Genomic DNA, 21,925 nt, shown 5'->3' on the forward strand with positions numbered 1-21,925 from the left:
AGACCTGGATTCCTCTAATATAGCTGTTTATTCTCTCTTTATTAAGCACCTAGTTACTTATTTTCATTAATTTTTCAGTTTATCTGTTAAGGTCTTGTGATTTTTACTTCATAATCTTAAATAACTTTTAAAAAAATTTTAGGAGAAATGGTAGCACTACTTTGCTCAAGCTAGAGTGCAGTGGCTATTCACAAGTGTGATCATAGCATACTGCAGCCTCAAACTACTGCACTCAAGTGATTCTCCTGTTTCTGCCTCTAAAGTAGCTGGAACTACAGTTGCATGTCACCAGCCTGGCTAAATTACTTTTTTGCACAGTGTTTTATACGGTAGTCTTTGCAGCCACATAGATCAATATTTGAATTCAAGCTCTAGTACTTACTGGCTTTGTGGTCTTGTGGAAATTTCTTACTCTCTCTCATTCTATTTCTTATTTAATAACAATCCCAAGCAGGCTGTTGTGAGACTGTAATAAGATGAAGCAAGGGAACACAGAGGATAGTGTACCCCCAAAGAAAGTGCTCAATAATGGCATCTGCTGTGATAGTCACCCTATTGATGACAGAGGCAATGGTGATGTTAATATAAACTCATGGAAAGGGATGGCCATGAAGGAACATCTGCTTGGTTTTCACCACTTTGTCACTGTTAACTTTACATGAATGTCTGCTCACCAAAAGTCAATTTCATTTCCCTTGACATTTTAATAATCACTACCTTAGAAACAGCAAAGACAGACTCGGGTACTCAGGGAACTTCTGTTCTGTCATCTGTGAAGGCATCAACCTTGTGACTCAGATTCTTGAGCAGAGATCACGCAACATTCTACATGAGACACTGGCACGAGCACCAAGAGATCCTGGAACATCTGCAATTAGTTGACAGTTATATTGAGGCTTGGAAACCAGTCTAAAAAAGTTATGCTTTAAATCAACGGCAGTTGTCAATGAGCCTGTGAAGGAATCCTTGCTAGGGTCCTCAGGCTTCTACTGCAACTCATACTGATAACAACAAAAAGAGAAGCCTCCCAAGCAGAAGGTCAGTCTAATTCAATCACTTAAGGCAGAATTATGGTATCAAGTTTCCACATCACTGAATGACCATGGGTGTAGAGGAGTGTACCATAAAATAACTGTGGGTGTTAGACATTTAACAAGTTGTTTTATTCCTAATTGCTGGCATTTGCCTAACTGTTTTCTTAATTCTAATTTATGTTTTTATGTTCCAGTGTGTTTACACAGCCCATAGTTCCCAATTGCCTTTATTTGCTTAAGTGTTTCTTTATTTACTTTTTTTTTTTTTTTTTGAAAAGAAGTCTCACTCTGTCGCCCAGGCTGGAGGGGAGTGGCACAATCTCAGTTCACCGCAACCTCCACCTCCTGGGTACAAGTGATTCTCCTGCCTCAGCCTCCTGAGTAGCTGGGATTACAGGCGCCTGCCACCAAGCCCAGCTAATTTTTTGTATTTTTAGTAGAGATGGGGTTTCACCATGTTGGCCAGGCTGGTCTCAACTCCTGACCTTGTGATCCACCTGCCTCGGCCTCCCAAAGTTCTGAGATTACAGGCATGAGCCACCGGCCTATTTACATTTTTATATATGTTGCTTTGCTTACATAACTCATTGTTCGGAGTGGGCTAGAAATAACCATAAATCCCCATTGCTAATTAGCCTCATCCTCATGACTGATTAGTCAAGATTATGAGTCTAGAAGGAGGGCAGAGAGGAGTCCTAATAGTGAGTCACAGGATTATTGAATTTTACAGCTGGAAGGAATCTTAGAATTTAAGGCATCTTTCAGTTAGAATTCTGTGGTTTTGCATCCTCAGCGTTGGAGAATTATGAAAGGTTGACCGCTTGCTCCTGCGCCTTTTGGCAAAAATGCTTAAGAATTTGGTGACAGCTTTAAAAAACAAATTAAGAATAAAGAAAAAACCCAATCAATGACGATTATAAGTAACCCATAATGGGGGCTTCAAAGAAGAATTGGAAACTTGACATATCAATGGGGTATAGAAGAGCAGAGAATATTAATGAACATGAAGGGGGTTCTTCTTTGGAGGTAAGTAAGCAGAGTGGATTTTTTGGAACTCCCTCCTCAGCAGCTGTGCAGTTTGTAAGGATTTTAGCTTGCCTAACTGTAAGCTTAGCTATTAGCTTTGCAGTGGGGAGTATTTAAAAGTACACACAACATATGAAGGAAAGAACCTGGAACCGAGTAGCCTGCTTCATTCCAAGAATCCATCTGGCATTTAAAGAACTGCTTGTCCTACATTAAACCCTGCAGAGTAAGAGCCATTTTTCATATCCTCATACCCCTATTTTTGGTTTCAGGTAAGACAGCTTACTGAGTTTGGAGAAGGAACAAAGAGACTTTTCCGAACCACCGAACCAAAGGACTCATCTAGGGTGAGCTCAATGAATCTAAAATCGGGAACACACATTGCAGCCCCTGTTTGGGAAATCAGCTTAAGAGCAATCTCAAGTCTCCACAAGAGGCGGAGGTCCATATTCCAAAATAATGTGAGCCTTCAGTTATTTGTAGGTAGAATTCAATGGAAGAAGGGGTGTTATAGATACGAAAAATCGTGGCTGGCGTTACCAACATTAAATGACTCGTGGTGATGGGGTAAGTTGACAAGTGAAATCCAGTCTCTTCCTAAACAAACGTATCTTTGTAATGAAGAGCTCGTTTTTGCAGCTTCAGTACATCTGGAGGCATCGAATAGCAAACGCTGCCAAAGGAGTAGTCCCTGGATTATCAGGAGTTGCAGAGTGTGTAAAGTGTTGTAAACCTTGAAATTAGTCCTGGACTGAAGGCACTTTCCCTCCTCCCAGACTCGCTTCTCTCTGACACATTTCCCCTTTCAATGGAAAGTCTATGGCAGTCAGGTCCACTCAGCTCAGACTTCAAGTATGTGAGACCACAGGTTCCCACCTTAACTGGTCACCCATTGAGGGACAGCACAAGACCCCGGTGCTGGCGCCAACGCTGAGCTGCGCCCTCTCGGTTACCATGGCGACCGCAGGCGGGGCGAGGCCCCCACTCGCCGCTTCCCCGCCTCTGCCCAGAACCTTTCGAACGCTCCAATTGGGACGACCCTTTCTTGCCTCTGTCCCGCCCCATTCGGCTCTAAGCGCTTTGCGATTGGCCCGGGACGAGCGGCCTGGTACCCAGAGGGCACCACCTCCTGACAGGAAGAGCGGGAAAGTGCACCAGGAGCTGTCCGAGGCGTGAAGCTCACGGGCGCGGCGGGGGAGCACACGGTTGGCTTTGCAGCGAGTTGCCCACTGTCCCATACACAACCCCCCGCTCCCATGACTGCCAAAAGCATGGAGCAGGAGTCGGGGTGCGGGCACACCGTTTGTGGGCCGGCCCGGTCTATCCCGGGGGGCTAGGACGCGACGAGGTTGGAGCGAGGATCCGGCGGCACACTCCGGAGCGCGGAGTATCAGAGGCCAGAGGGAACGGGCCGGGCCCCGGGGGCGGTGCCGGCGGCGGCGGCGGGAGGCGCAGAGCCCAATGAGCGCGCGCACCGCCCCGGGGGCGGGGTCTGAGGAGCGCTCCCCCGCCCTTGCCAGCCCCCGTCCCTCCCCCCGGCGCGGGGCCGCAGTGAGTGAGTGGCACTGGCAGCCTGTCAATCCCTCGGCCCAGCGGCCTTCCAGCCCGGTCCGCGGCGGCTGCTGGCTGGGTGCGCGGCTCCGGCGGCGGCGGCGGCGACTTCTCCCGCCCTATCCATCGGCTGTCCGCCCGGCGCGCGGCCCGCCGGGGCCCTCCTCCGGGCTCAGCGCCCCCGCCGCCTCTGCCCGCCCGCTCCCAAACTTTCCTCCTCCGCCCCCCCTCGCTCCCCGCGGCCCGCCCGCAGGCCTCCTCCTCCGCCGCCGCCCGCCGCCGCCGCCGCTGCCTCCCCCGGGGCCGCCGGGGCTCGGATCCCGCCTGGCCGAGGCGGCGGCGGCGGCCGAGGAGGGCAGTGCGCAGGCTGGCGCGGGGGGCGGCGGGCGTCCCGGCAACTCGGCGGGCGCTGAGGAGCAAGTTGCGCGGGGCCGCCCGGCGGGGCGCGCGGCGGCGAGGAGGCGGCGCGGCGGCCGCGTGAGGGCAGCGGGCGCCGCCGCCTCCGCCTCCGCCACCGCCGCGGAGCCCGGCGCTTCCGCCCGCCGCTTCTCCTCAGCCTCGGCGGCGGCGGAAGCCGGAGCCGGGCGCCCGTCCTCATCGCCTCAGCCGCGGGCCCTGCCGGCCGGGCCGCCCCCTCCCCGCGCGGGCGGGGAGCGCGCGGCCGCCTCCCCCTCCCCCTCCCCCTCTTTCTTCTCCTCCCTCGTCGCCGCCGCCGCCGCCGCCGCCTCAGCCTTCGCCTCAGCCGCCGCCCGCTCCCGCCCGCGCGCGGCGGGATGGACGATCAATCCAGGATGCTGCAGACTCTGGCCGGGGTGAACCTGGCTGGCCACTCGGTGCAGGGGGGCATGGCCCTGCCGCCTCCCCCGCACGGCCACGAAGGGGCGGACGGCGACGGCAGGAAGCAGGACATCGGCGACATCCTCCACCAGATCATGACCATCACCGACCAGAGCTTGGACGAGGCGCAAGCAAAGTTGGTGTCGTCTCATTAAGCATCTTTTGTGTGTGTGCGGGAGCCGGGCCCGCGGCCGAGTCGAGGCCCGGGGTGGCGCCCGGGGCTAGGGCCGCAGCCCCCGGCGGGGAACTTTCTCCGAAAGCCGGCCGCCCGCCCCGGCCTCGGGGGGACTTGCCCGCGCCCCCCGAAGCGGGCGGGAGTCGGCAAAGTTGCTCTGGGGGGCTCGGGACGGACTCGGTGCGGCGCGGATTCCGTGGCGTCCTTTCCCCCGTCCTGCCCCTCGCAGCCCGGCCCCCTCCCAGGGATTTAAACCTCCCGCCCCGACCCCGTGCGGGCCGCGCCGCCGGGAAGTGTAACTTTCTCCTCCGGCGGGGAGTCCCGGCGCCGGCTCCCGCGGCCGCGGGACGACCTCGCGATGCGGGCGGCCACCCGGGCCCGGCGCGGGGCGATGGGCGGTTCCCTGGCGGGTCCGGGTGCGGACGGCCAAGTTCTCGGAGAGGGAGGGCCGCCTTGCAAACTTTGCCGAGCTGTCACCCTCCCGCTGGCCGCAGTCGGCCGGCCTCCTCTGCACAGGAGCGGACGCGGGAGCCCCTCCGCACCCGTCCCCTCCCCCGGGTCGCCTTCGCCTGCCCCCGGGGCGAGGCTCCCCGCGCGGGTTCGCGTCGCGTCTGCAGTGGCCGAGGCTGCTGCCTGCCGGGCAGATGGGTCCGCCTTGTTCCGGCTGCAGCTTTCGCCGCCGGGGCTTGCTGGCTGTCGGGAACTAGTCAACTGGAGTTTTTGTTGACTTCCCACGGTTCAAAAGGGCCTTCCAGAATGGGGGGCTGGAATTAAATCTTGGGTCTAACTTAAAGGAAGGCGCCATATTATTCCATAGGTGATGCTAATACCTTTGTGTTTCGTTATTTGTTTTTTAGGAAACATGCCCTGAACTGTCACAGAATGAAACCAGCGCTCTTCAGCGTCCTGTGTGAGATCAAAGAGAAAACAGGTAAGACGCTGCGCCCCGCAGTGGGCCTGGAGACCCCCGAGGTGGGGGTCGGAGCTACTCCTTCGACTCTCCAGTTGAGAGCTGCTGCTTTTGGGCACCGCCATCTTTGATCATTCTCTCCTTCCCACGTCCTGATCTTGAGAAAAAACTGCAATAAATCTGGAGTCAATTTCTCAGTTCTGCTCCTGGTGTAAAATGAAGTGTAGGTGCGGACCGGGCTGGATCGCCGTCCCTCGGCGGCCGCCCCTGGCTGCAGGCGGGGAGGGGGCCCGGAGCGCCAGCCGCCCTCTTCCCTCTCCTTTCGCCTTGTTTGTGTGTCAGTTTTTAAAAGGAGCAACGGGAGACTGGATGCCAGGACCGAGTCCCCGGGAGAAGCATCGCCCGAACTTTGTTTTACTTAGACAGTCTTAAGCTTCAGCTGCACGGATAGAAGAATAGATGCAATTGAACAGACCCCAGTAGCATGCTTGAATTAGTGTTTTAGGTGGGAAGGCTACTTTAGAGAATCGAGGAAGGGTAATGATGTGTAGACACATACGATGTATTACATCTGTTAATACTTGTATTATTTTGTATTCTGAAGTCATTACACTTGTAACTGTGCTTAATATATAAAGTATAAAAAGGTCTACAGATGCAGGTTAAACAATTTTGAAGTGTCCAAGTCAGGGAATATATAAGAAGATAGGTTTTGCAGAAGTGCTGGAATGAAAACTACAGGTACATATTTGGCAAATTTTTGGCAATTCGTTTCAGTTTAACTTTCTTGTCAGACTTTATTAATTGAAGGTCTTTCAGTCTTGACGTGAGGTAACTGCTCAAACTGAAGCAGAGATTTGGATGTTTTAGTTTGTATTTGGCATTATCTTCCCTGTATGTGGCAAACAAGTACATTAAACAAGCTCTACTGTTTATTTTTTTCCTGTTCTTTTCTTTCTTTTTTTTTTTTTTTTTGGTGTGTGTTGGATGTATGGTATTTTAAAGTTGCCATTTTGAAAGTTGAGGCAAAGGAGAAAAAGTTGAAGTCCAGGATATAGCACTATCCAAGGGAGGCTATTTAGAAGGTTACATGTGATTGTGTTTAAATTGAGTGTACAAATAGCACAGTGCAAATAATTGTTAGGTTGATAGGCGAGTCAGCCTTCTTTGAAACAGGTTTTTCGCTTTGCAATACTATTCTGATCCTAAAAGTAATCAAGAAAAGATGATGAGTTATTGCTGTCTATTAAATATATATGCTAAACCATAATAAGCAGCAAATAATAAGGGAGGCCAAAGAGTACTTTTCCTGGTTTTCATTCACATATTATGGCTGGTTTCTTAATGCTCAGTGATCCTTTCTTGAATTACTAACTTTTATTTTGTGTTGATTTTTAGCTACCTTTAGAAAGCGTTTTGATTTAAAGCAGTAGATAATTTTTATCTGACTGTAAAATAAGACATCTAGCATTCAGTCTTGAAGATTCTTAGTTTAGAAGCTTAAAAGTATGCAATTCTCAGTAAATTCTGATGCTTAGTGTCCAAGGGTTTTCCTGCTATCAGGGCTCCACTTCAGTTTCTGCTGACAGCCAAGCACTGGGGTATTGACTATGTTGTGAATATTAAGATTGATTCGACTTTATACAGCCTTATATTACTAGGGAGAGGGGATGGATACTTATCGCTTCTCATCCCCTTCTCATTATTTGTATTTATTTATTTATTTTTGCCTTTTTAAAGTTTTGGCCTAGCTAGCTTGAGAACTAAACCCAGCAAACTGCTTTTCATGTTGAGACATTTAGCAGCAGGCAGAATTCAATTAGGAAGCATAAGTCCTTTAGTTGCTTATTTGCACAGGACTTAGTTACACCATTCTGAAAGGAAAGTATAGTCAACCACATGTCAAAGGTGAGTTACGAAAAAGAAACAAATCTTTTCAAAGTCTGGGATTACTGGCAGAGAGAGCTTTGGTAGGGCTATTGCTATTTAAAAACCAAGAGGCAGCTGACAAAAGAAATTTTTGTGTTTTAAAATTGTTTCTGGGGCTTTCAGTGATAACTTGTAAATTAGATTCTCTTTTTGTGCTTTGGCCAGTGGATCCACATTTGCACGTTATCTCTTTTGTAAAAAGCCAACAGCCGACAAAGAGTAAAGGCGGCTGTCTGGGTAGAGGCATCTTCCTGCTAGCCTCTCTAAGCTCGAGAGGGATGGGATTTAAGTACTGAGTGATTGATGGGGGTGAAGCTCTTTCTCTTCTTTCCATTCTCCCCTACTACCCATAGCTTCACCTCACTCTCCAAAACTAGTCTTAGAATGAGACAGGGACTCAGAATCCTCAATTCGAAATAAAACAGCTGTGTAGACATTAGTGTTACCAAAGCAAAGAAAGCGGGGCTGCAAATTCCAAGCCCCCCCACTCCTGCTTCCATAGTCGGTCATGCTTTAGAAACATGAACTTATAAAAGAAACATTGTAGAATATATGTATATTGCATAAATATTTTTTAAAAATCATTTTATTTAATCTAATAATACCTAAAAATTAATTCTTTGTAATTTAGAGAAAGTTTACCTAGTCATTTATGAATAGAAACCAGAAACATTATGTTGATGACTCTATTCTGCTTAATGAAGGGGGTTGAGGGTGAACTGTCATTTCAGTGGATAATGTCATTTCAGTTGTGCTTTTCTTCTAAAACAAAACAAAATCATTTTAAAAAAAATCTGTTTATTTGTAGCTCTGCCAGTGGATTTTGAGGTTTCTGATCAGGCAGTGAACACTGCCAGTTCTTATGCACATGGGGGATTTAGTTTAGAAAACATCTGTTTCCCCCTCTACCATATATGAAAAGGTATTTTTCCCTTCTGACAGATAAATGGGTAATCTACTACAATTATATTATTTTCTTGTTGAGAGGTAAGGAAAGTATACTTCTACTATAAGATGCTGCTTTTTCTTGAGAATATATTCTTTCGTAAAATTGATCATACCATTATTTTTGGGCAGAAATGTCTCTCATTGTTGAATTGTGATATTTGTGCATTTTGAGAGCACCCAAAAAGTTGTAGGCTTTAAAATAAAAATAGTTGTTTATTTTAAACCAAGTAACCAGTGAGATTATTGTTGATATGTTAAGATTTTTCTCCTGATTTTTAAAGCCATATTTTATCATCTGTCTCTTATTAAATATCCCTGATGCCACAAGGTCTGCTCACCTGCATACCTCTTTTGGTGTATGCCCCCACCTCTTTTTGGTCATCTTAATCTTAATTGTTGAAGTGCTTTCCTTTGTGAAATATTTCATCCTGAAAAATCTTGTCTTCTTTCCAAAGCCCTTAATTGTGCGAGTTTAAGTGAAGGAAATAGTTCTTTTTCAAGAAAAAAATATTTATTTTTTAAATGAAATCCCACATTTTAGTAGATAATATGAATCACATTATTGTGAAAAATGTTATGCATGAAAAAAAATAAACACAACCTTTTCCTTTTCAAATAATAGGTTAAAATACTCCATGTTGATGGCTGCCAACCAAACTCTGATTTATTGCCACCACAAACCCTAAATAGCGTTCATTTACTAGTAATGTCTAATGGCATACATGATGGTTTGCCAGATTTGTAGCCTTTGTGAGGCTTATAAGTAGGACTGACTTGGGAAGATCATAAAACTTAATGAACTTCTCTACTGCAGGAGGTGTCCGCAGGGGAAGAGAAAGGCCTGCTTGGTTGGTTGGGCTGGTTGAAGTATTTTTTATGTTTAAGGAGAAGAAAATGACTAGTAAAAATGCCTTACTTTTAAAGGAACCCTCCCTAGAAAGAGTCATAAGAATTTTAGATATTAAAACTAGATCAAGAGTATAGTTTACAAGTGAGGTTTTATGTGCATTTAGTATATGATGTGAGATTAAACCTTTTATCTTTATTGCTAGAAGTGTGACTAGCTTTCAAAGAGACAAGGCAGTACTGTCATTCGACACCTCTCTATTTAATTGTGAACCCACAGGTTTAGAGACTCTTTGGAGTCTTTTTTTGGTGTGCTTCTCTTTTTAAGGTTTCAATATAAAAATCTGTTACATTTTTCTTTGTACAGTGCTGTGTGATTCTTTTAATTCTACATATGTAAAAATCAATTTTTTCAAGTGAAAATTTAGCAAGAAAGGTGAAAATTGTTATATATTAGTCTAAATGTTATTATATATTTTGCATATGCTTTTAAGTTGCTCTTGCACTATTTCCAATATAATTATCATCTTTTGTTTCAAGTTTTAAAAACAAATGCACTGTTCCATACATGATTCCTTTTTGTGTTTTCATGAAACACATTTTGTTTTAATGAACTTATTTTCAAGATTTTAACAACTTTTTATTGTGGACACCTTTGAAACATAACATGCAGAGAGCAGAGACTCTTGAACCTCCCATGAACTCAGTGCCCATCTTCAGCAATTAGCAATACTTGGCCAGTCGTGTTTTCTCTGTAATTCCCACCATTCCAAAATTATTTTGAAGCAAATTTTAATGGTTCTTTAATGTTTTAAGTTTCATATCAATTTTAAGCATTAGGTCTGCTTATATTGGAAATATTAAGTGATTAAACAGGAAAAATACAAAGTCAGAGTATCTTGGAAATGTTATAAATTATATTGCTTTATCAATATATTTTTCTTAACTTAATATTTTACCTTTTTTTTTTTCTATTTTTATAGATTTGGTATCTTACTGGAGCTTTTGTAGGAGGTTTTCAGAGAAGTTGTAAAAGAAAGGGATTTTTCTACTTCTTTATTCTTCCATTTCCATCCTAACAAAATAGCACATATAATACATTTGTAGAAAACCTGGAGAAAAATCTCATTGCCAAGCTGGTTTAGAACCTCATGATCTAAAGTATCATGTGGATATTATCTTTAAAATATAGAGACATTTTCCAATCCTGTTCTTTATTTTTTTCTTCCCAATAAAAATGTATTGAACTCTCTTGTCAATACTAACTTGATCTGTGCAAGTAATTCTTTTGTTCCTTAGTTTTAATGACCCTCATTTTATTACAGATTTGAATAGTTTTGGTATTTTATTTGGGACTTTACTATGTTATTTTATTAATTTACATAATTTTATTCTGAATTAGAAGTCTTTTAATACACTAGCAAAGGAGGCCCCGACTTGCCCCAAAGAGCACACTGGTTGATCGGCTTTCATAAAATGTACTTGTCTACATTTTTCATACTATGATGCTTTTCCTTTTAATTAATTTTGCCTGTATATTTCCATCTCAATTTATAAATTTTGTAAAAGGTTACTTCTGAGGCAAATTTAAATTAACGTATTAGTTGGATTATTTATATTTTGATACTTTATAGTGGCATGGTATAGGATGAAGTTACATTATATGAAGTGGGACTATAAGAATTGAAACTGCATTTCGTGAACCACACCCTAAGTCAGTCATCACTTTATTTTGTACTCTACCCTGAGGTATCTATTTAGAATAAATGCTTAACACATCAGCACTAACACATCAAGTTATATAAGGTTTTAGATTATCTTTTCCCTATTCGTGTTTGTGAACATCTTTAGATATTTATTAGTTCAATATTGACATTATGAGAATAATGTTTTGTTTTCTCAGCAGTCTTGTGTTTTAGCCATTTATCAGTGTGATCAGCATGATTTAGGTATTAACTGACTAACAAAGCTTACACATTACCACCACCTCCCCCTCAAGCCCGTGTTGACCTTTTCAAGCATTTGCTCTACTTCAGTAGGCCATTTGAGTCTTCAAGTATGAAGAGAGTAAATAATTTATATCACTATGTAGTATAAATTGGTAAAAGTTTTTCAGAACTAGCTATCTGATTTTTTACAAAGTTATTGAAGTTAATCAGACAAATTGCTATCACATCTAGTTGACAGTGCTATATTTAGCAAATAATAAGTAATTCTTGAATGAGCTACTGAAAAAATAAACCACCTTTTTATGCCTTCAAACTCAGAACATATTAAAAAATAAATTTCATTAATCTTCAACACTTGATTCTAATTATCCCTTTTGTAGGCAGAATTGCAACAAGAATTTCTTCTGTATTATTTTTTCATAGATATATTCCATAGTATAATATGTTTGTAGGTTTTAATGGTAACTAGTTTACTTTGGCACTAAATTTGAGTGTATATCTAGCAAAAAAATTGGTGTGATAGAATGTATCAAACTGAATTGGCGTAACTTTTTTTGTATAACTGTCTACGTAATAGTAACAGGTTAGTATGAAAGCAATTAAAAATATTTATGGATAAAAATAATTGTTAAAAGTTTTCTACTTCTTTCAACTTAAGTGCTTTAAAAATGTTAAGCTGTTTAGACAATAACTCTTTTTTAGTGATCATATTAATGAGGACTTGGTATACAATGTAATCCTTTTAATGCTGATGAGTCCTCACAATGTTTAAACCATTATTTGTGAGACTCAACATGTTATGGCAAAATGATTTTTTGTTTGTTTTGTTTTCTTTTATGTGATACATCAGTTTTCAAAGCATATTTCTTAGGCTTCAGAGTCCAGCAGGTGGCTTTTTACATTAAAAAATTCATAAATTTTAAAATCCCATAAAATTTTATTTCAAATTCAAATTAACTAATTGAGAATGTCAACATTTTCACTGTCTCTATATTAACATTTATAATAGAACAAATGGTTGCATATAGAAATTATCTGCAACAGTCTAAATTAAGATTCTAAACAGGCATTACAGATGCTGGTAACTTTGGCAATTATCATTTTGTTTGGTGAACAGTAGTAAAACAGTGTGCGGTAAAAGTGTTTAGAGAGAGAGGATAAATAAATTGAACAGTTTTGCAATGCAAAGTGGTTTGTGGTGTTTTTGAGGATTTCTTGGCTCTCTCTTAACTGCTATTGTGAGCCTGGAGCAGATTTCCCCATTGCTAATGCCCTAGAAGTATTAATTCACTTTGATATGCTAATTAGAGGGCATTATGCAAGAAATGAGATTAAGTGGCAGCATGAAGCCATTTGCCTGTCAGTAAATTGAGAGCTTTAGCATCAGGAGGAGCTTTGTTTTTTTTTTTTTTTTTTTTTTGAGTTTCTCTTGGTTTTGCATATAAATAAAATTGATTGAAAGGTCTAGAGAAGCTTCCAGAACATTGGTGGATTCTTTTTTCCCCCTCCTATGATTATTTAAATGAAATGTTACAGGATTTTTCTGAATATTAATTGACCTAATTGGAGATACTGAATATAAAGTTTTTATTGTAATGTTTCTGTATAAAAATATACTAAAATTTTTGTGTCACCTAGTCTTTTTTTTCCTAAAACATAATTTCATTAACATGGCTAATGAACTGTTTATCACTTATCTCTTCTCAGAAGTGTAAACTTCTGTGTATGGGCTTGTGCACCAATGTCACTAAATTGAACTTCACAAGGATATTTTCTTCACTAGGGAAGGAAGGAAGAAGTTGAATTGGGCTTCAGAAAACTATATTAAATGAGTATTAACATTCTGACTTGAATCCATAAAAGCTGTAACAATTATAATTCATGGTTAAACTGCCCTTTATACAACCTGTGGAATTTATATTTCAGCATATATCTTATAGGTAAGATTACTGATGACATTTTGTGTGGAAGATGGAATTTCATACTGGATTCAGATTTTGTTGACTTTTGTGGCCTAAGCTAGGCCTCTGAATTTTTCTCTATAAAGCTATTTTGTGATATTTCTTATATTCTGGGGAGAAATACATGAATGAATACTAGGATTGCTGTGGGGAAAGGGAGGAAGACAGACCTTCTGTGCCTACAAGAAGGTTAAGGTTTACTCAAACATGGAACTTCTATCTATAAACCATGCATAGAGGATGGAATTGCAAAATCCTGGCCTAACTGTATTTGCTGGGTATGGTTAGAAGGAAGAGGGTTTGGGTAAGGCATTCCTACTGGGGTTTAGTTCAAGTGTCTGAATTCCACCACTGTAGCTGTGACTCTGGACCCAGTAAACCATATCTTCTCTTCAGAGCCATGTGGATTATTTAGTCACCACAGCTGCCATGCATGCATACTACCAAGGCAGGCATCTCTTCGGTGTGCATGTGTGATGCCTGTTAATGGTAATGTGAGTTACGAATGTGCACAGAAAGGAGGATGAGTTTCTCCTGAGACAAAAGTCCTGATTACATTTCGCTGTGAAGACGACTTTTAGTGTACCTACCACATTAGCTGCTTTTCTAAATGAAACACTTGGTTACTTTAAATTCTCACTCCCTTCTCTGATTCCCTGAACTAGTTAAATCAGTGAATCCTCATTAGTCTCTGATTACTTGCAAAATTTCATTTAAAACATATGAAGTTATTTTTGATTGAAAAGGGAACAAAAAGCTTTTGAAATTGCATGTTATTATTTAAACAAAGGTTTCTACAGGCTTTCAGATGTACTAAGCCCTGCAAATAATTTATAGAGGAATTATTGGGAAGGACTTATGAAATTCTTGAATGGCATTTGATGGGGAGGAAATCATTGCATTAAAAAATATATATATTTGAAATGGCAAGCTTAAATGTGCATCTTACCTTTACTATCCAAGTGTCCTTAAATGAGGAAGAATTGACTTAGGTGGTCTTACAAGTTTCATTTTTCTTTCTTTTCTCCTCCCACCATTGTTTTTTTTTAAAAAAAAAACTACAGGTGAAGGTTGTTGGAATTCATAGTCAGATATATCATTTTCAACTTGGAATAGGAACTAGAGCAGGAAATTGATTTTATATTTATTATGAAAGCAAGAACTCTGCCACCAACTGACAGCCATCCATGTTTTAGTTTTGTGATAATTGTTCACAGACATTACTCTGTAGTTGGTCCAGATTATTTATAATGTTGATTGGGACTGTTGGTCCATTAAAAGATATGTGTGTAATTAATATCTTTAATTAAACCTAGTAATATTGGCATATTTTATTTTTCTTTTACACTGGATCTTGGGTCTAGGATTAACTGTCAGTACTGGTAAGAACAAGTTATAATAGATTGTGCAGTGATTTCTGTGGCTTCATGGATGTATTTATTACCATTTTTGAACAAATTACACTAACATGAAAAGTTGTATTTGAAATGATTGTGTGCTAGATAAGGTGATACATTACAGGAATGGTTGGGTTTATGGAGCTTTATGCAGAGGTTTTCTCAGAAATTATAGCACAGGGCTGTCACTATAAAACCCAGTGATACAGTTGGTAATAACATACAGTGAAGATATTTTTAGATTTTCACTTGTTATTCAAATAAGTGAGAAACCTCCAGTTTTTCTCATCATATTTCTTTGTTAGAATCAGTAGAGAAAAAAATGAAGGAAAATTCTTTTAACTGTGTATGAGGTGTGGGTGTTTGACTTGTCTGAATTTCCTCGTGTTCACCACTTGTTACAGCAGTGATGTGATACTGAGGATGTCCTTAGGAACTTACTGACTTCTTGGTTCTTGACCTTTTGACTGTGATCAAGTAGAGATACTGAATGCCTGAAAATGAAATGATGGACTCTATAAACATAAATTCTGTTCTGTCAATGTATTGCATGAACTAATTTTGATTTGCCTAAATTTATGGCATTTTGTATTCAATAAAGGAAATATTTCTTACTTTCAGTGTAATCAGTATAATGTTATAGTTCTAACATCAAACCAGTTTCCTTTTTTTTTTGACTGATTATCATTGTGGCTGCTTTTTAATTACTGTGATTATTATGTTACTTTTAAATTTCTAATATTTTGCAGAATATTGACATGCCATCTAATAGTGTTTTCTAAAGACTGAACTTTAATCAGTATGAGTGCTTTAACTTGAAAATTAGGAGTTCAAAGTTTTCGTTTAGATGACTGATGTTCAGTGAGTGAATAATTTCAGAAATATAAACATTTTCCAATATAAAAAAGTAGCTGTCAACCATTGTAATGTGAAAAAAAGATAAGATGTTCCCATAAAGTTTTCCCTTTCAGTTTTAAATGTTAGAATTGATGGCCAAGCTGTAGAATTTCTAAACCTCTTCTTCCTTAAGCGATTATAATTTGCTGAACTTTAATGCAGCATGCTGAAAAAATAAGCCTCTCCCCTCCAGAAGATTCCATTCATTTAATAATGATAATAAAAATTACTGCCATTTATTGAGCAATGTCTGTGTGCAGCAATGTCTGCGTGCTGGGTGCTTTACATGCATTTCTTTAAAAAAAATTCATGCTTTAAATCTAAAGTAATATATACTTATTGGGAAAAATAATATAATGCTGATGACATATTATTTCTTAAACTTGTAGCAATGCTCCAAGGTAGGTATTTTAATTCTCAATTTGCATATGAGGAAGGTGACACTGAGAGGTTAAGTAATTTGTCCCTGATCCCATAGTGAGTGACACCCCAGGCTGTCTTTGCTTCAGAGGTGGCAGCAGAACTACTCAACTTAGGCAGAGAAAGTAGTGGAAATGGTTGATTCAAAGATGGCAAAACCTGAGCTTAAAAAAATGTGGTCAGGTCCAGAGTGACACTGAGTGGCAGCAGAGCTGTGGTCAGCACTAGTGTAAATATTTGTAGACAACCATGTTTTACAGACTTCAGTTTAATGGCAAAAATCTGCCCTAAATGCCTCAGTAAATATATGCTGGAGAACAGAAGCCTATTCACTGAAGAAACAATTGACTTTAGCTTTTCTGTTGTTAAAGTGGCCCCTAGTGATAGTGCTGCAGTGACTAGATAGAGCAGAGGAGAATGGCTTCCTCCTGGCTGGTGGGCTGGCAGTTTCACTGGCACTGCCAAATGTACTTCCTATTTGTTGTGCAAGGGAATTGGAACAGTGAGGCATTTATCATATCATCCCCTACTCCTCATGCAAGCAAAAAAGGAGAAGTTGTCAATGAAAGAAAAAGAACTGTAATCGCACATTTACATATGCTTCTAATTGTTGATTTGGGGATTTTCTATGAATATAGCTTCACAAAACAGATGCTGTTTAAGAAAAGGGGGAACATAATTTTGTGGGCAATGAATTAAGTGTTTTTGTGGCCCTCTCATCCGTAGCTAGGAGCAGTTTGTGGACCGCGTCTGTGAACGCGGCTCATAATTGTTTTTCACACATAAGTTATGCAAATGAGCTTTTATGGCAACTGGCATAACAATTAGCATCCTCCAGCAATATTTTAGCAGGTTAATTGCAAAATTTCTAAATTGTACATCTGACTTGTTAATTAGGCATGACAGAGGTGGTAAAATAGTTATCTTCAGGCAGTGGCAGCCAGGAGCTGCTTGAAATGCAAAGAGCAACGATTGATTGGATTTGAGGGTTACAATTGTGGGAGCACTGCTGTTGTCAAGTGCCGCTGAGCAGCTCTGCTCCATCAGTTGCCTCAGAGCAAGAACTCGGTAGTTGCTGCGAGGATCCTGCCATTTACAAATCTGCTTTATTTAACTCTGCAACTCTTCCATTCCAACCTATCTGAGCAGTTTATTTCACGCGGTTTGTTCTGCGTTGGGATCATTAAAACGAGATGGCAACACAAATTATTTTGTGCTCGAATTTCAGGACGCTGAAAGTTTACTTTCTATTTTAAAGTTCATCTCAACATTTTTCTCTTAAAATAGAAAAAAAGTCATAAATTCCCTATTTTAATTAAATTGTAAATTTCAGTTCTCAAGACTTCATATGTGATTATTTGCTTTTTAATGATTTAACTCTTTTAAACAGTGCATCTTTTTGTGCTTCATAGGTTCATTGCAGGAAAATACTGTTTGTGTATTTTAGTCTTAGGTTTTTTTTTTGAGACATAGGAGAAGAAAAGAATCTGATGTAAGGGTTTCATACAGTGGACAAATTCATTTTGCTTGTAGAATTTATAAAATAATATTAGCATGGCATATTGTGATGATATTGTATACCACTATTAGAATTCTATCTACAGTATGTTTTAAAAATTATTTTTTCAAAATTGTATTTAAATTTCTGTGGTCTATTTCATAGTTTTACTTGGATAGTAACAATAATTTGGTAAACATAAACATTAGTGAACACAGCATGATGGCACATTGTGCATCTGATTGTGCCAAAATGAACCATACCTTTTGTGTTTAAATTAGGCTAATTACATTTTTCTGTGCATATAAGTACCTACAAGTACACTGAATATGAAGTTAAGCATGTGTGAAATTTGATGTCACCTTTGAATTCACATATATTTTCTTGATTAAGCCACGTTGTGTGTAATGTTGAAATGTCATATTTTCATTTAAAAAGTAAATGTTCTACATGTGCAGCTGTACCAATATTTTACATTTTCTTATGACATGTGTATATGGAGGAAGTGCCATTTATGATATGTTGTCATCAATAATTTTGTCACTGAGAATAAAAGGCTTTAAACTCATCCACCCACTGGAACGTTTTATCATATTTATTTTAAGAGATATGAAATTAGTGAACAATTGAGCTTTTTATATTTAGGAGATGCAAATGTAACTGGATATTTACCATTAATGAAGTGCAACATAAATATCTCAGTGCCAATAAATTATACATAGCAACAGTGTATTCTATAGACATCTAATAAATAGTTTCTTTTTTCTTTTTTTTTTTGCTAGATCCTTTAGCTACATTCTTTATTATGGTCTAATTTACAGCCAATGGTGATATTTAATATTGGTTAACTTTTTAGAGTGATCTATTGCATTTGAAAATATTGTATTTTGAGTAAGAGTAAAACATTGTTCCATATCATTACATTTACTGATTAAATGCTCACTGATTTTTATCCATCACTATTCCACAATTCAAGCAAGAGTTTACTACAGTAATGCTTCAGTGGATAATATTTGGAATAGAGTAACCATTTTAATGAGGTTCATCGAGAGAGCTTCAGCAGGGAGCATTTCAGGTGTATTATGGCTTTTGTCTTGTCATGATGCATGTCTCCGTAACATTAGAGAAAAAGCTACAGGGCCCCACTCATCTCAGTTAATAATAATAATAATTTTAAAAAGTCAAAACAATAACACAAAACCCCTACCTTTCTAATAAAGTGTGAATAGAAAGATACTAAGAACAGGCAGCACTATGTGTTTTTAGGAAACTTGCTAAGTAAATACCATTTCTGTAGGTTAAATTTCCATCACATTTTTAACTGTCCCAGTATTGATCACCCTATAGAGGAATGAGACTGAAGTCTGGTAGTTATTAGTATAAAGAGGGTCAGCTGCAGAGACTGGTACCGAGTAGAGGCTCTCATGGTAATGATGCTGCTATTTATAGATCCCCATTTCATTAGTTGCAGAGTTTCAAGGAAGAGATTTTCTCTAGGGGAAATGGATACTTGAAGTTCATTTTCTTCCTCATATTAAGGCAAAAATGTGAACAACCTTCAGTATAGGACATATGATTACAGTATTTTTGCAGGGGCAGTTTATATTCTAAATATATTTGCAATAGTGAATGTTGTAAATTTAAAACAATGTAGAGATTCAGAAATGTTAGTTGCTATTCTGGCTGAGTGCTACTTTACGTACATTGTTTTATTACCCTTCTTGTCATTTTTTTTCTTGTAAAAATTACTAAATTTTCAGGAACTGCAAAGCTGAGTACAATCATGACTGTATTCCCTTTCTTTAGAGTGCTGTAAGGCCTTTAAGAGAGTTAACTGATTGCAAGAAGTGTAGTTCCCCAAAAAATATAGTCCACCCACTATGTGTATCTGTATATATTTGTAATATAGGTAATTGTGCTTTCCTTCTCAAATTCTTTACCTTTGAGTTATTTTTTTCCCTTTAAGAGAATATTTACTTAGTTAGTATTCACTTAATTAGAACTGACTGTTTAATGTTTTCTGGGAGGGTATTTATGGTATTTTCTTTGCTATATTTGCATTCCAGAAATTAAGTCCCCCTGCCATTATTCGGTGAGCCTTTCATACATTAGAATGATGAATTGAAAGCAGAAATGGGAAAAAGACTGCAATGCAATGAAAATTTAATCAGCGTCTTCTGCTGCTTTAATAAGGCAAATAATTCTTATTGGCCGCTGTGTTAAGGTTTCTAATATTTAATTCATAACAAACCTTGCATTATTCTGCAGTAGCATCGACAGATCCACTTTGCTGCCTGCCAACAGGCAACCATAAAAACTTAAAAGCAGATGTAAATGTCTAAAACAAGGAGAATGATTCGATCTAAAGCGGTCAAAAAAATCAACAATATTGTGAAAGAGTTTGATGGATCTCTATATTTAGTGATGCAAAAATGATATTAATTAAACTCACTTGAGCAGATTTTTTTTTTGGACTTAGAGGTAACCTTTTACAAAGCATAGCCTTTAGTGCCTAGTCAAAGACTTGGAAAGAAAGCAAATGTCAATACAATGTTGGTAATAAGCCTCTTTAAACTGGACACAAACTGTGCCATTTATATTGGAAGTATCTGGTTTATATTCCTGTGTATATGCAGTCTCTCAGCAAATACAGTGCTGAAATTGAGCCAATGGCATAAAATATTTTATCTTCAATTAGCCCAGTTTGAGAAAAGCAATAGCTTTTGCAGTCTAATTTTTCTTTGAAATGCCCTTTGTGGGGGAAAAAAATTGTCACAGGATTACAAGGCATATATGTTTTTATTTCATAACCTGAATTTAATGATTTTGTAATAATAGCATTAATCTTTCTAGATTACCATCTTTTTGTGTGAGGTTGTGTTGGGCATTAAGTTTGAACCTGCAGAAATGAACAAAAAGATATTGTTACCGATTACATGTAAACAGCCTGAATCATTCAAAGGGATGTGGAGAAGAGTATTTCTATAGTGTGAAGCCAGAGAAAATGGCAACCTGCCAAAGCTAGGTGCAAGCTCTTGTTACATGGAAGGGTTGGGCCTGTTCTCATTTCTTCTTGAAATGGCTTAATTGGTGTCAGCACCCCAGGGATAAAGGCCTCTAACACTGAAATCCACACGATTCACCCTGTCTCTGCTCAGTGTAGGGAAACTGGTAACAACTGGTGGTGAATGAGGAGCGAACGGTGCTGTAACAATACTCGATGATGTTTGGGATGACAGAAATTAATACGCACTTGCTTGAAGAAAGCAATGATTAATGGCAGTGAGCACGGGAACGCTGTCCCTCCTTTTACTCCACTTTGATGGGGATTGAAAAGCAAAAGGCTGTTTTCATTCTCTGTGGAAAGCAGAGGTCACACAGAGTACATTATAGCAATTTTTCCTCTCTGGTTTTTTTATTTCATAAATATTATGATAAGCATAGATTAGATAGATTTTTTTGTGGAAGCTTAAAAGGATATTTTATGTCATTTAAACGTTGTTTATGCATAAAGAAATCACACATTCTTTTCTTCACTTGTTAGATCATTTCCCTTCATGTCAGAATAATTAGTGTAATTAGAAATTTTAAAAGCCTGCAAACATGAAATTGTATTAATGCTGCTTACTATTTTACAACTGGAATCAAAAGAGCTTAGTTTTCTAAAGACTGCAAGGACAGGGCGGGGATAAGAGTGTTGCAGGGGCTTTCACCTTTTTCCTGCCCCTCCCCCTGGTTTTTCTCAGTGAATGTTTGATGTAAATATATTTTGCAAGGTACTTGCACTTGTCAGCAGCTTTCTTAGCCATTTGATAAAGATTCTTTATCCTACAAGAAAGCCTGAAATAACAGAACTGTACTTTGGATAATGAATTCTTCATCTGTGGAGAACTTTAAAACAAAGTACAGTGTTGGCATTTTTTTCTTTTGAGTGAGAAGGCTGATATATCTTTTGGATCCGACAGGAAGACATAAATTAATAGAGTTCTGGAGTTCAGTTTCTCATTAATAATCCATTTTGTCATGGTTCTTGGCATTGTCAGCCTAGTAGCTGGTTCATATTTTGCTAACGGATAAAAGCAGATTATGTCTTAAGGCACAAAGCAAGAATAAAGAGTTTATCGCCTTTTGGGGGAACTACATGCTATAAGAAAAATATTGTTTTGCAAAAAGTTTCAATTTTTAGTTAGCAATACACTACATTTTCTAAGGTAAAGCTGTTATTTTAAGATCCGAAATGGTTCTTGGAACCTTAGGATATTAGAGTTTTAGATCATTGCTTAGAGTTGCCTTTGCTGATTGCAAAGGTTTGCTTTTCAGGGACAGTTATAGTAGATTTAAGCTTGTTTTTATATTTTATTTTTAGAACTCTATGTATTGGGATATAATTATAGTTCAAAGAGAAATGCAGAAAAATCACTATTCCTCTTCTTTGCACTGGTTTGTCTAGATATTCTGTTACCTCTGCCTAGTTTTGTAGACATGGGGTTCTTGACGGCTACTGTGAAGGCTGCAGAGTCTAGCCATCTAAGAAATCCAATCAATAA

General features: G+C 39.7%; 1 protein-coding gene and 1 long non-coding RNA gene across 11 annotated transcripts in view, besides 7 other annotated features; one reads left to right on the plus strand and one right to left on the minus strand.

Annotated features, from left to right (window-relative positions):
- Positions 1 to 684: 684 nt before the first annotated feature.
- Positions 685 to 2,860, minus strand: PBX3-DT (PBX3 divergent transcript). Its single transcript, NR_122032.1, has 2 exons — positions 2,347 to 2,860; positions 685 to 868 (listed from the first exon to the last, which is right to left on the minus strand). It is a non-coding gene; the product is annotated as a PBX3 divergent transcript (long non-coding RNA).
- Positions 3,399 to 3,828: a silencer, noted in NCBI's record as "silent region_20280". NCBI's record gives its function as "represses an Ori minimal core promoter by ATAC-STARR-seq in GM12878 lymphoblastoid cells {active_cell/tissue: GM12878}" and the evidence as "EXISTENCE:reporter gene assay evidence [ECO:0000049][PMID:35858748]".
- Positions 4,079 to 4,128: a silencer, noted in NCBI's record as "silent region_20281". NCBI's record gives its function as "represses an Ori minimal core promoter by ATAC-STARR-seq in GM12878 lymphoblastoid cells {active_cell/tissue: GM12878}" and the evidence as "EXISTENCE:reporter gene assay evidence [ECO:0000049][PMID:35858748]".
- Positions 4,139 to 4,668: a silencer, noted in NCBI's record as "silent region_20282". NCBI's record gives its function as "represses an Ori minimal core promoter by ATAC-STARR-seq in GM12878 lymphoblastoid cells {active_cell/tissue: GM12878}" and the evidence as "EXISTENCE:reporter gene assay evidence [ECO:0000049][PMID:35858748]".
- The window catches only part of PBX3 (PBX homeobox 3), a 220,005-nt gene continuing 202,383 nt past the window's right edge, over positions 4,304 to 21,925 (plus strand). For 7 of the 10 annotated variants that reach the window (NR_024122.2, NR_024123.2, NM_001411009.1 and 4 more), the window contains exons 1-2: positions 4,304 to 4,584; positions 5,481 to 5,554. Coding sequence is in view for 7 of the 10 variants with exons in the window: in NM_001411009.1 (NP_001397938.1) it covers positions 4,385 to 4,584; positions 5,481 to 5,554 (274 nt within the window). In the remaining 3 variants the exon portion in view is untranslated. Of the gene's footprint in view, positions 4,585 to 5,113; positions 5,360 to 5,480; positions 5,555 to 21,925 lie in introns of those variants that run through there. The other 3 variants (XM_011518755.3, NM_001134778.2, XM_047423445.1) reach the window with 2 other exon arrangements.
- Positions 4,939 to 5,278: a silencer, noted in NCBI's record as "silent region_20283". NCBI's record gives its function as "represses an Ori minimal core promoter by ATAC-STARR-seq in GM12878 lymphoblastoid cells {active_cell/tissue: GM12878}" and the evidence as "EXISTENCE:reporter gene assay evidence [ECO:0000049][PMID:35858748]".
- Positions 11,586 to 13,024: an enhancer, noted in NCBI's record as "VISTA enhancer hs1030". NCBI's record gives its function as "enhancer in: hindbrain (rhombencephalon)[6/7] | midbrain (mesencephalon)[6/7]" and the evidence as "EXISTENCE:transgenic organism evidence [ECO:0001131][PMID:17130149]".
- Positions 15,644 to 17,305: an enhancer, noted in NCBI's record as "VISTA enhancer hs818". NCBI's record gives its function as "enhancer in: forebrain[6/6]" and the evidence as "EXISTENCE:transgenic organism evidence [ECO:0001131][PMID:17130149]".
- Positions 17,527 to 20,094: an enhancer, noted in NCBI's record as "VISTA enhancer hs1102". NCBI's record gives its function as "enhancer in: branchial arch[3/7]" and the evidence as "EXISTENCE:transgenic organism evidence [ECO:0001131][PMID:17130149]".

Source organism: Homo sapiens, chromosome 9, assembly GCF_000001405.40.
Source record: "Homo sapiens chromosome 9, GRCh38.p14 Primary Assembly".
In the NCBI taxonomy this organism is placed as follows: Eukaryota; Metazoa; Chordata; class Mammalia; order Primates; family Hominidae; genus Homo; species Homo sapiens.